The sequence below is a fragment of the Homo sapiens genome, chromosome 11, assembly GCF_000001405.40.
Source record: "Homo sapiens chromosome 11, GRCh38.p14 Primary Assembly".
NCBI classification, from domain to species: domain Eukaryota; kingdom Metazoa; phylum Chordata; class Mammalia; order Primates; family Hominidae; genus Homo; species Homo sapiens.
In genome coordinates, this window is record NC_000011.10 from 129,747,336 (window position 1) to 129,761,072 (window position 13,737).

Here is a 13,737-nt window from a genome sequence, read left to right on the forward strand (position 1 = left end):
CAGCTCAGAGCAGTGGAATGTACTGGGCTGGAAGTCAGTCATCTACAGCCACAGCGCAGGCAGACATCGAAGCCTGGGGGAAGCTCAACCCCAGAGTCGGACCACTTGCTTTAGGGGTATTTATTCAGAGGAATGGGACAGCCCTTGAACGTTTTGCATTTTTCCTACAGTTTCAAAGGCAGCAGTGGCCTAAGCCTGTGTATAACTTGCCAGGTAAACTGGCATCATGAGAATTTCCCTGAGCTGAGCGGTGACAATTGTTTTTGCCATCTTGATTTAGAAGCCAGAACAATTCAGAGAGTTGTAGATAGTGGGGGGGAAAGTCATAAAATCCGTTCTCCATATTCTGCCCCCTTTCGGGCCCAAATCAAGTTTGGCTTCTTTCATGAAGCCACTCACATCCCCCTGTCTCCTTCTTTTGAACTCCTATGACACTTATATATTAGTGGCATATATTTTAACAAAGTTGCTTTTTTTTTTTTTTTTAATCTTTGAGACAGAGTCTTGCTCTGTCACCCAGGCTGGAGTGCAGTGGTGTGATCTTGGCTGACTGCAACCTGTGCCTCCCTGGTTCAAGTGATTCTTGTGCCTCAGCCTCCTGAGTAGCTGGGGTTACAGGCGTGAGCCACCACACCTAAGTTTTGTATTTTTAGTAGAGACAGGGTTTCACCATGTTGGCCAGGCTGGTCTCGAACTCCTGGCCTCAAGTGATCTACCCACCCCTGCCTCCCAAAGTGCTAGGATTAGAGGTGGGAGCCACTGCACCCGGCCTCTATTTTTATTTTAGGTTCAAGAGGTACATGTGTGGGTTTGTTCCATGAGTATCTTCATGATACTGAGGTTTGGGTTTCTAACGATCCTTTCACCCAAGTAGTGAACACAGTACCCAATAGGAAGTTTTTCAATTCTTTCCCCACTCCCTCCCCTGTTTTTTATTTTTATTACTTTGCTTTTGTCTCCATGTCCCCATATCATAAGCCTCTTGAGAATGGAAACCACGTCTAAGCTTCCTTGTATCCCCCTCAGTGCCTGTCATGGTGCTGGGTACAGGGGCACCAATGAGTACCTGTTGAGATGAACAGGGACCACCTTGAAGGGAGAGGGCTGGGGAAAGGAGAAGGCAGGCACAGTAAGAGCTCATGTCCTCTGCATACTGGTTACATGCTGGTGCTGTCATCGGCATTTAACATGTGCTAATCTGCTTAATTTTCACAGCTGCCTTATGAGGTGAACCCACCTTACAGAACAGGTGATTTAGGCACAGAGATGTTACCTGAATGGCCCAAAGTCACACAGCTACTAAGAGGCAAAGCCAGGATCTGAACCCAGAGAGTCCAGCTCCAGAGTCCATGATCTTCCATGTCTCCCACTACTGCAGAAGGACAGCTATCCCCTGGTGGCATGTGGGCAGTAATCAGGCCAGAGAAACGGAGGAAGTATATACTTTCCAGAAAAAAATAAACCAGACCTAGAATCCTTATCCCAACTCAACTTGCAATGACCGCTAAAAAAGGGTCTCTTCAGCATAAGGACAAGGTGTCTGTCCCCAGGGCCTCAGCTCTGCTTCTAGCTATCAACATGTCCAGAGGACACTGACTGTGGCCTCTGCTCTCTCCCACCTCCCAGAGCTCCTTCCTGCCTCTTCATAGATGAGGGGAGAGATGATGGGAGACAGAGGGTGGCATTTGCCAATGGAGACTAGCCCCAGGTCAGAGAGCCTGGGCTGGCACTTAGGAGTTCCCTGCTGGGAGCGACCCCCAGCCCAGCTGCATGCACCAAACTCCACCCAGCAAGAGAATTCTCACTGCCCTAGAAAAGCAGCTCCCCAAATTTAAACAATCCTGACCCCACCTTCTGCCTCCTGCACATACTTTCTTTGAAATCTTCCAATGCTGAGTAAAGGAAAGATTATTTGATGTCTCTGAGTCTCATCTCTACAAAACCAACCCTGGATGGCCACGTCCAAAGCTACCAGAGGTAACCCCAGTTCTGCTCCAGGGGAGGGGATAAGACAGCATCGACTGCCTTGCAAGGAAGGATCTTGCAACACGCAGCCCGAGAAGAACCTTTCAAGGAGGACAGGGGAAGACTTTATTTTAAAAGTAGTGACTGTTTCAAGGATCTACCTTATGAAGTAAAAGTGAACTTCTTGCTCCAGTAAGTAATTTAAAAGACAAATACGTTCACAGACATACATAGCAACAATGAAGAAACCATAAACCATCACACCAGTTGTCCAAGGCATAAACTGTCAGTGTGGTTCCAAGAGACATTGGCTTGGTTTGGTTTTGATGGAAATCTCTGTATTATCTATTTTTTCCCTAAATGCAAAGTGAAGAGTGTTTTTATCCTTCCTTTATTCACTCAGTGAACACCTACTAAGTGCGACCTCCAGTCCTCAGGCTGCATGCTGGAGATTCAAAGGTGAATATGAACTCAATGAGATGACAGCCCAGAAGACAGAGATGGATAAGTAAATAGTCTCAAGTGCAGTGAAAATTTTGGATTTCTGGGATAGGCGCTATTGATTCTATAAAGGGGACAAACCATGAAGGAAGAGTTAGACGAACCCAAAGGCCATCACGGAGGAGGCAGTGCTTCTGCAACATTGCGAGGAACTGCAAGTAGTATAAAAAAGCAACAGCAGGCGTCGGGGAAAATAGTGAGAATGAACACTGGACATGGATGTGGTGGCACACCTGTGGTCCCAGCCACTCAGGAGGCTGAGGTGGGAGGATTGCTTGAGCGCAGGAGGTTAAGGCTACAGTGCGCAGTGATTGTGCCACTGCACTCCAGCCTGGGCGACAGAGAGAGACTCTGACTCTAAAAAAAAATGAAAATAAAATAAAATATTAAAGACGTAGACAGGAGTCAGATCATGGAGTAAAAGAATTATTCCATTAATGCAGCTCTTGTAAGCACTTCCATCTGACGTAGCCGAGGACTTGATTCAAAATCCTTTCTTTGACCTGCATTGCCTAGAATTCTCCGAGAGAAAACAAGCTTTGCAGACTCTCAAAGGGAATGTCTGGCCATGGTGGAACGCGGGCCCTTGGAGGACTGGCCGGGGCTATGACTCTGGAAGCAGCAAGGGAGGCAAGTGCGCAAGCCTCACCGAGAAGGGAAGACCAGGCTGCTCTCAGCTCTCGGCCGGGCTCCTCACACACCGGAGTGGGCCTAAAGTTCGAGGAGCTTCTTTCTCCTTTTCTCCCCGCAGTGCTTAACGTCTCGGGCCACGGGCTGCCAGCACTCACCTTCTGCCGAGGCCGCCCTGCGGCCTCCCTGTTCTGAGGCCCCTGCCCCTCCCTGATGAAACTTCCTCGGTGCTAACTTGGCAAGAACAGGCAAACGCTGCTGTGCTTCCCTTTGCCCATGAAAAGAATGAGGTTTAGGGGAGGCTCTGCACAGTCCTGTGCTGCCCGGGAGAGCTGAGCAGAAGCTGTTGAAGCCGGCCTCCTGGACTGAGCTTGGTCCAGCAGCCTATCCACGTGAGAGCCCTGGCTGTCTGGAGGCACAGGGAGCGGCTGGGCCTGCAGCGTCCCACCTGGAGGGAAAGGACGCACCGCGACGGAGGCGTGGGCCCTGCGCCGGTGCTGGGCAGGCGGCGGCCGCGCGCCCGGGAGCCACGCTTCTCCGGCGGAACGCGGCGCCCCCTGGCGGCAGAACGCTTGTGGCCGCCGTTACGCTCGTGTGGAAACAGCGCCATCTGCCGAACGTTCTGTCACATTGCTGATTGGCCCACACAGATTTTGTAAGGATTTTTCCTTCTGCTTGCTTAAATCAGGCCGTCCTGAGCCTATTCAAAGTGTACTTTTGAAATGAAAAAAGAAACTGACTGTACAAGATGTTTTGCTCGCTGGAAAAACGAGGATGAAAGGAAAATGGGTAGCGATTATCTGAATAACATGTGCTTCCTGTCTGTAGTGAGGTGTGAACATGGTGGGGCCGCACGTTGCAGAGGAAAACGCATGCATTTTGGAGTCAGGCAACTGCAATCAAATTCTCACTAGCTCCGTGAGCTAGGAAAGTTACTTAGCATTTCTGAGCCTCATTTGTCCTTATCTGTAAAGTAGAAGTACATTTACCTTGCAGCATTGTAGCAAAAGTTAAATAAAATAATGTGCATAAAATGAAAATTAAATGTGTATGAAGTAAATCAGATAATATGTATAACAGGTAGGCTTTAAAGTATAACATAAAAATATCACATAGACATTTTTCTAATTGTTAGAATCGTGAAATATTCCTGAAATGGATTTATCAAATGAGAAGATGGAATCTCTCTGAGGTATTTTTAAATTTTCTCTACAATGGTTGATTCTGACCTTTCTGTAAAAGACGATCTATTTCTGGGCACAGATCCTAGAAGCAGAATTCTGCCAAAGTGAGACTCCACTAACATTTATTGAATGTCTGCCACATGCTAGACACTTTCAAAGATGCTCTTTCATTATCGCCAGTAAAATCTGAAGCTTCAGGATCTATTTCCTCTTCCCAGCAGAAAGTTTTGCCAGGAATATTAGAACCTCTTTTTTACAGCCTCTCAAGTACTTTCAAGATTACTCAGAAAATCCCAAAACTTTGAACAACCCAAATGCCAATTAACAGGAGAATCAATGATAGTACATCCATACAATGAAACATTACTGGGCAATGAAAAAGACAAACAACCAGATAAACACCGCAGGAGGGACTCTCAAATCTGAGGCAAAAATAGAAAGTCAGGCCAAAAATATACTGTATTTGCATGAAGTTCTAGAATATGAAAACCTAAATGATGGAGATAGAAATCAGAATCGTTGTCCACACAGGATAGGGGTGGGGATTGACTGCGGAGGGGCACTAGGCAACTTATGGGGTGATGGGCATGTCCTGAATGTTGATCTAGGTGCTGGTTGCACAGTTATGTACAGGCAGTGGTGTGCTGAAGCCTGCTGGCACCATCAAGAGAGTGGACTGTTAATTTTTCAGGATGTTTGCAAGCCAGTCAGCATCACATTGATAGCTTGGAATCCACCGTGGTGGAAATATTTATACTCCAGAAATTGGCAAACACTACAAAGCAGGGCTTTTTTATCCCACCAGAGAGCCAGTTGTAAAACATGTATGAACACACAACTGTATATATTTGCCAAAGCTCATTGAATTATATATTTCAGATCTATGCATTATACTGTATGCAAATTATATTTCAAACATGGGGGGTGAGTACAAGCTCTCCGCTATCAGAGTGTGCAGAGCACAGCTGGAGGCCCATGCTGAGCAGCTGGGGAGAAAGGTTGGAATCAGTCATTTCTGGAATGGAAAAGCAAAATTTAAGAAGTCTTTTCAGTCATAATGGGTCTAAAGCAAGAAAGCAGATCAAAATACATAAGCCTCAGAATAGAGGTGCAAGACTGGGTCAGCATTTTGATAATGGCTGCACAGATTGCAAATCATCAGCCTCACCTTAGCAAGGAGGAACTGGAGGCCCATATCAGAATCCAATGTTCATCATCTATAATTTTATTAATTTTATTCTTTAAATCATCACACAGGCCAGGCACAGTGGCTCACACACTTTGGAGGCTGAGACAGGTGGATCGCTTGAGCCCACGAGTTTGAGACCAGCTTAGGCAACATGGCGAAACCCCATCTCTACAAAATACAAAAAATTAGCCAGGCACGGTGGCACATGCCTGTAGTCCCAGTTATTCAGCAGGCTGAGGGTGGGAGAATCACCTGAGCCCAGGAGTTTGAAGCTATAGGGAGCCATGATTGTGCCACCGCACTCCAGCTTGGATAACAGAATGAGATCCTATCTAAAAAAATATATATATATATATATATATACACACACACACACACACACATTTTTTTTTAGTGTACAGTTCTATAATTTTTACATATGTATAGATTCACATAAGCACTGCCACAATCAGGATTCAAAATAGTGCCATCACACCCCTAAAAACTCCCTCATGTTTTCCCTTTATAATCACAGCCTCTCCCATTCGTAACTCCTGGCAACCACAGATCTATCCTCCATCAGTATTTTATCTTCTCAAAAATGAGAAATACAGCACGTAAACTTCTGAGACTACTTCCTTCCCCATCCCCCAGCATCATGCCTTGGAAAGTGCTCAGCTGCTGCATGTGTAAACAGTTCATTCCTTTCTACTGCTGAGTAGTATTTCATTGTATGGATATACCACAACTTCTTCATGCATTAACCTGTTCAGTCACCTGTTGAAGGACATTTGCTTGGAGCAATTATGAATAGAACATCAGATAATCACAGAATTATCAACAGAACATTTATATAAAGGTTTTTATGTAAGCATAAGTTTTCACTTCTCTAGGAAGTGGGGTTTCTGGGTTATAAGACAAACACGTTAGCTTTATAAGAAATTGCCAAACTTTTCCAGACTGGCTATACCATTTTTTATTCCCACCCACAATGTATAAAATTTGAAATAGAGCTTTGGGAGGCCGAGGCGGGCGGATCACGAGATCAGGAGATTGAGACCATCCTGGCTAACACAATGAAACCCTGTCTCTACTAAAAATACAAAAAATTAGCCAGGCACGGTGGTGGGCACCTGTAGTCCCAACTACTCAGGAGGCTGAGGCAGGAGAATGGCATGAACCTGGGAGGCGGAGCTTGCAGTGAGCCGAGATCACGCCACTGCACTCCAGCCTGGGGGACAGAGCGAGACTCAGTCTCAAAAAGAAAAAAAAAAAAGAATTGCAATAGAGAGAAGAATCAAACAGATGCAATAAAAAATGATATAGGGGATATCACCACTGATCCCACAGAAATACAAACTACCAACAGAGACTACTATAAAAACACTTCTATGCAAATAAACTCAGAAATCTAGAAGAAATGGATAAATTCCTGGACACATACACCCTCCCAAGTCTAAACCAGGAAGAAGCTGAATCCCTGAATAAACCAATAACAAGTTCTGAAATTGAGGCAGTAATAGCTTACCAACCAAAAAAAGTCCAGGACCACACGGATTCACAGCTGAATTCTACCAGAGGTACAAAGAGGAGCTGGTACCATTCTTTCTGAAACTTTTCCAAACAATAGAAAAAGAGAGAATCCTCCCTAACTCATTTTATGAGGCCAGCATCATCCCAATGCCAAAACCTGGCAGAGACACAACAAAAAAAGAAAATTTCAGGCCAATATCCCTGAGGAACATCCATGAGAAAATCCTCAATAAAATACTGGCAAACTGAAACCAGCAGCATCAAAAACCTTATCACCACGATCAAGTCGGCTTCATCCCTGGGATGCAAGGCTGGTTCAACATATGAAAATCAATAAACGTAATCCAGCATATAAACAGAACCAATGACAAAACCACATGATTATCTCAATAGATGCAGAAAAGGCCTTTGACAAAATTCAACACCCCTTCAATGCTAAAAACTCTCAACAAGCTAGGTATCGATGGAACGTATCTCAAAATAATAAGAGCTATTTATGACAAACCCATAGCCAATATTGGCAAAAACTGGAAGCATTCCCTTTGAAAACCAGCACAAGACATGGATGCCCTCTCTCACCACTCCTATTCAACATAGTGTTGGAAGTTCTGGCCAGGGCAATCATGCAAGAGAAAGAAATAAAGGGTATTCAAATACGAACAGAGGAAATCAAATCGTCTGTATTTGCAGATGACATGATTTTATATTTAGAAAACCCCTTCATCTCAGCCCAAAATCTCCTTAATCTGATAAGCAACTTCAGCAAAGTATCAGGATACAAAATCAATGTGCAAAAATCACAAGCATTCCTATACACCAATAACACAAACAGAGCACCAAATCATGAGTGAACTCCCAATTCACAATTACTACAAATAAAATAAAATACCTGGAATACGACTTACAAGGGATGTGAACGACCTTTTCAAGGAGAATTACAAACCACTGCTCAAGGAAATAAGAGAGGACACAAGCAAATGGAAAAATATTCCATGCTCATGGATAGGAAGAAACAATATTGTGAAAGTGGCCATACTGCCCAAAGTAATTTATAGATTCAATCTATCCCCATCAAGCTACCACTGACTTTCTTCACAGAATTGGAAAAAACTACTTTAAACTTCATATGGAAACAAAAGACAGCCTGCATAGCCAAGACAATCCTGGGCAAGAAGAACAAAGCTTGAGGCATCACGCTACTGGACTTCAGACTATACTACAAGGCTACAGTAACCAAAACAACATGGTACTGGTACCAAAACAGATACATGGACCAATGGAACAGAACTGAGGCCTCGGAAATAACACCACACATCTACAACCATCTGATCTTTGGCAAACCTGACACAAACAAGCAATGAGGAAAAGATTCCCTATTTAATAAATGGTGTTGGGAAAACTGGGTAGCCATATGCAGAAAACTGAAACTGGACCCCTTCCTTATACAAAAAACAACTCAAGATGGATCAAAGACTTAAACATAAGACCTACGACCATAAAAATCCTAGAAGTAAACCTGGGCAATACCATTCAGGACATAGGCATGGGCAAAGACTTCATGACTAAAACACCAAAAGCAATGGCAACAAAAGCCAAAATTGACAAATCAGATCTAATTAAACTAAAGAGCTTCTGCACAGCAAAAGAAACTATCATCAGAGTGAACAGGCAACCTATAGAACGGGAGAAAATTTTTGTAATCTGTCCATCTGACAAAGGAGTAATATCCAGAATCTACAAAGAACTTAAACAAATTTACAAGAAATAAACAACCTCATCAAAAAGTGGGCAAAGAATATGAACAGGCACTTCTCAAAAGAAGACATTTATGTAGCCCACAGACATGAAAAAATGCTCATCGTCACTGGTCATTAGAGAGATGCAAATCAAAACCACAATGAGATACCATCTCACGCCAGTTAGAAGGGCAATCATTAAAAAGTCAGGAAACAACAAATACTAGAGAGGATGTGGAGAAATAGGAATGCTTTTACACTGTTGGTGGGAGTGTAAATTAGTTCAACCATTGTGGAAGACAGTGTGGCGATTCCTCAAGGATCTAGAACTAGAATTACCATTTGACCCCACAATCCCATTTCTGGGTATATACCCAAAGGATTAAACATCATTCTACTATAAAGACACATGTACACGTATGTTTACTGTGGCACTATTCACAAGAGCAAAGACTTGGAACCAACTCAAATGTCCATCAATAATAGACGGGATAAAGAAAATGTAGCACATATACCCCCATGGAATACTACGCAGCCATAAAAAAGGATGAGTTCACGTCCTTTGCAGGGACATGGATGAAGATGGAAATCGTCATTCTTAGCAAACTATCACAAGGACAGAAAACCAAACACCGCATGTTCTCACTCATAAGTGGGAGTTGAACAATGAGAACACATGGACATAGGAAGGGGTACATCACACATCAGGGCCTGTCAGGGGGTGGGGGGCTAGGAGAGGGATAACATTAGGATAAATACCTAATGTAGGTGACGGGTTGATTGGCGCAGTAAACCACCATGACACATGTATCCCTATGTAACAAAACTGCACGTTCTGCACTTGTACCCCAGAACTTAAAGTATAATAATAATAATAAAAAAGAATTGCAATTGCTCTCAACAGCTCTTGGTATTACCAAAGGTTTTCCTTTTTTCAGCAATTCTAATAGGTGTGTTTGGTTTTAGTTTACAAGTCTCTAATGCTTAATGATATTGAACATCTTTTTGTGTTTTATTTGCCATTTATATATTCTGCAAAGTCTTGTGACAGATGCAACTTGCAAATTTTTTCTCCCCAGCTATAGTGTTTTCATTCTCTTAATAGCATCTTAAGTCTTTTAATTTCGATAAAGACCAATTTATCAACTTTTTCTTTTAAGGATCATGCTTATGGTACCATGTCTAAGAACTCTCTTCCTTAATCCCAGGAAGAGATTTTCTACTATGTTCTTTTCTAAACTTTTTAGAGCTTCACTTTTACATTTACATCTCTTATCAATATTGAGTTCATCTGTATACAAGCTGTAAGGTTTCAGTCTTCTGTCTGTTTTGTTTGTTTATATGAATGTTCAGTTGTTCTAACATCATTTGTTGAAAATATGATCCTTTATTGAATTACCTTTGCACCCTTGTCAAAAATCACATGGCCATATTTAAGCAGTTATCTTTCTGGACTCAATTCTGTTTCATTGATCTCTATGTTCCCATGCAATACCATACTGTCCTGATTACTGTAACTTTGTAATATGTCTTAAAACTGGGTAGCATGTTTCCTACACCATTATTCTTATTTTTCAAAGTTGTTTTAGCTATTCTAGTCCTTGGCCTTTCCATGTAAACATTAGAATCAGCTTGTCTGTAACAACAAAATGTCCTCGTGATACTTTGACTGGAATTGTTTTAAACCTCTACATCAGTTTTGGCAGAATTGGCAACTTTTTAAAGTTAAGTATTCCAATCTTCAAATATGGTGTTTCTTTTTATTTGTTTGTATCTTCTTTGAGTATTTTCACTGGTATTCTGTAGCTTTCAGTAAGATGTTCATCTATTTCATTTTTTGGTATTCTATGTGGTACTGGTTTTCAATTTTCCTATCCAATTACACATTTCTGGTTGTGATGGTTGAATTTTTTTTTTTTTTTTGAGACAGAGTCTCGCTCTGTCGCCCAGGCTGCAGTGCAGTGGCGCGATCTCACTCACTGCAAGCTCTGCCTCATGGGTTCACACCATTCTCCTACCTCAGCCTCCTGAGTAGCTGGGACTACAGGTGCCCGCCACCACTCCTGGCTAGTTTTTTGTATTTTTAGTAGAGATGGGGTTTCACCATGTTAGCCAGGATGGTCTCAATCTCCTGACCTTGTGACCCACCCGCCTCGGCCTCCCAAAGTGCTGGGATTACAGGCGTGAGCCACCGCACCCGGCCTTGATGGTTAATTTTATGTGTCAACTTGGCCAAGCCATGGTAGACAGTTTGGGCTCAAACACCAGTCTAGATGATGCTGTGAAGAAATGTTTTAGATGTGATTAACACTTAAATCAACTTTGAGTAAAGGAGATGACCCTCCATAATGTAAGTGGGCCTCATCCAATCAGTTGTAGGCCTTGAGAAAAGAGACTGAGGTTCCTTGGGAAAGAGAGAATTCTACCAGCAGACAGCCTCCAGATGCGAGCTGCAACATCAGCTCTTCCCTGGGTCTCCAGCCTGACAGCCTGCTCTGTAGAATTCAAATTTGCCAGCCCCTACAATCACACAAGCAAATTCCTTAAAATTAACCAATCTCTCTGTCTCGCTCTCCCTCTTTTAAACACACACACACACACACACACGGTTGTGTATCTCTCACATATATACATATGTATATGTGTGTGTGTATCCTATTGGTTCTGTTTCCCTAGAGAACCCTAATATGCTGATGTATAGAAATACAATTGATTTGTGTGTGTGTGTTAACTGTATATCCTGCAAACTTGTTAAACTCACTTATTAGTTCTAAGAGGTCTTTGCAAACTCATTGGGTCTTTGACATAAACAATCGTGTACACTATGAACAATAACTGTCCTCTCCAGGGTGGGGTGGGCACCAGGTTAAGAGTTGGGCATCTCCTTGAGATGTCCTTATTTGCTTAGGTCCTGCATGAAAGCACACAGTGCCCTGGCTCTTTTGAAAAGCAGGAAAATCCTGAAAGCAAGCAACACAGAGCTTTCTCCATTGTGAGGTGGTGAGGAGGGGATTAGGGCACTAGATGAGAAAGGACAGGCCTAGACAATGAAGCAAGGGGCCAGTGGGCAGACGGGTAAAACCACCTGCTCCTCAAAATGGCCAGGCTCTGAGATGAAGCAGGAGTCTGCACTTAAACCGAGGCTGGATCCATCCCAGGGATTCAAGTGAGTCGGCATATTGACAGGAATCCCAGTGGAAGTCTTTTTGTGGAGTGAAGGACGGGGGTGAGTTGCAAAATTTTCTGGACCAGAACTTATTGTAGGAAAAGAAGAATTGAAGCTGGGCATGGGCTCCTGCTTATGGTCCCAGCTACTCAGGAGGCTGAAGCAGGGGGATTGCTTGAGCCCAGGAGGCTGCGGTGTGCTATGATCACACCTGTGAATAGCTGCTATGCTCCAGCCTGGGCGAGAGAGCAAGACCCCATGTCTAAGAAAAGAAAGGAAAGAATTCAGGCACTGTGAGGTGACCTAGGAACAAAGCTTCAAAACATTCTGAGTACAACAGAAAAAAAGAAGTTTTACTTAAAGTCCATAAAATCCTGGGACATTAGCATCCTTTTTTGGAAACCCCTCTCTTAAACTGTAACTCCAGGGAGACAGAAGCTCCCGTAGACCAACAGAGCACATGGTCCCAGTGCCCAGCAGAGCGACGTGGAGCTGCAGAGTCCTGTGGGGGCTAATTTGTACACAAGCACATGAAACACCCCCACAGGAGCCTAGACTTTTCCTCTGTCTTGCTGCAGACTTTGAAAGAGCTAGAGACCCTGTCAAATCATGCGGGTGCAAAATCCCATGCAATTGAGGGGTTTTCACTCATGGTATGCTGTTTCTGCAGGCCTGTGATGTCAAGAGAAAACAGAAAAAGAGAAGCGAATTCCACCTTTGCCCACTGAGAACAAATCTACCCAACTCCTCTGTCACAACCCCTGTGAGAAGATTCTGCCATCTCCCAGCCCTGAAGACTGTGAGGTCATCTGACCACCTATTACATTGCTAAATATGGCAAGATGTCACCTGACTCGACATTAGGCTGCCCGTCAATCATCACACTCCTTTTCTCCCACTTACTTTTCTATCACCCCGTAGAAGGTTCCCAACAGCTGTCCTTAAGTCCTCCAGGCTATAGAAACCGCTCTTGAAACAATATGTCAGCATACCATTAGTGTCCTTCAACTCACACCCTCACTTCCCAGCCCCTCCTCTGTGAACAAAGTCTCTCCTTACCTCTTCCGCCAGCACTAATCAACCTAATGTTCCTTCACTGTTTTCCCCCCTCCCAGCTTCCCTCCAACCTGCACCCCACACCCCCCCATCCTTTCTCCTCTTTCTTTCCAAGTCTCCACACTATGACCGAACACTTGTCAGAAATGGTGCTCCCCCTGGGCCCCTCCACACCTCCTGAAGCCCAATCCCCATCACTTCTTACCACCCCCAGCTCTCTGATGGCCCTGGGCCTCCCTCCCGACAGCTGAGGCCTTTCCTGGATCTCTACACATCACCAAGCTAAGCCAGTGTTCCAAAATAGTCTCCTGAACAATGATGACAACTGCACGGTTATTTTGGAAGGTGAGTGTGGCCAGAGTCCCAGAACAATGCAGGAAAGACAATGGGATGGTGGAAAGCAGGTAGCCTGGCCAGCTATTTGTGCAGATGAATTCAGGAGCCTGGTATTTCTCTGAAGGATGACCAGAGAATGGATGAGCTCTCAGGATCACACTGAGACCAGGTCCCTAATGCTCCTAATCCCTTAGGACACAAAGACCTGAAAGACATAGAAACTGCTTCTCTGAAAATTGGCTTGATTATTCTCCCAAAGTTGACCAGGATCCAGAGCTTAGATTGCAGGAGGTCAGGGCGTATGCTGAGGCCCAGCTGTCTTCAAGCTGCAGTTTCCAAGATAGCCCTGAATAGAGTCCAATCAATATATGGCAATATATTTCTCCTTTGTTTCCTGTAAGTTTTACAAAAACACACATACAGAAATGTACGTAAGTCATAAGTTTACAGCTCAATGGATTT

General features: G+C 43.8%; 3 annotated features.

Moving 5' to 3' along the window:
• Nucleotides 2,709-3,210: an enhancer, noted in NCBI's record as "H3K4me1 hESC enhancer chr11:129619939-129620440 (GRCh37/hg19 assembly coordinates)". NCBI's record gives its function as "activates a minimal SCP1, AML or CMV promoter by ChIP-STARR-seq in naive H9 embryonic stem cells {active_cell/tissue: H9 hESC(naive)}" and the evidence as "EXISTENCE:reporter gene assay evidence [ECO:0000049][PMID:30033119]".
• Nucleotides 3,211-3,710: an enhancer, noted in NCBI's record as "H3K4me1 hESC enhancer chr11:129620441-129620940 (GRCh37/hg19 assembly coordinates)". NCBI's record gives its function as "activates a minimal SCP1, AML or CMV promoter by ChIP-STARR-seq in naive and primed H9 embryonic stem cells {active_cell/tissue: H9 hESC(naive and primed)}" and the evidence as "EXISTENCE:reporter gene assay evidence [ECO:0000049][PMID:30033119]".
• Nucleotides 3,498-3,597: a silencer, noted in NCBI's record as "silent region_4066". NCBI's record gives its function as "represses an Ori minimal core promoter by ATAC-STARR-seq in GM12878 lymphoblastoid cells {active_cell/tissue: GM12878}" and the evidence as "EXISTENCE:reporter gene assay evidence [ECO:0000049][PMID:35858748]".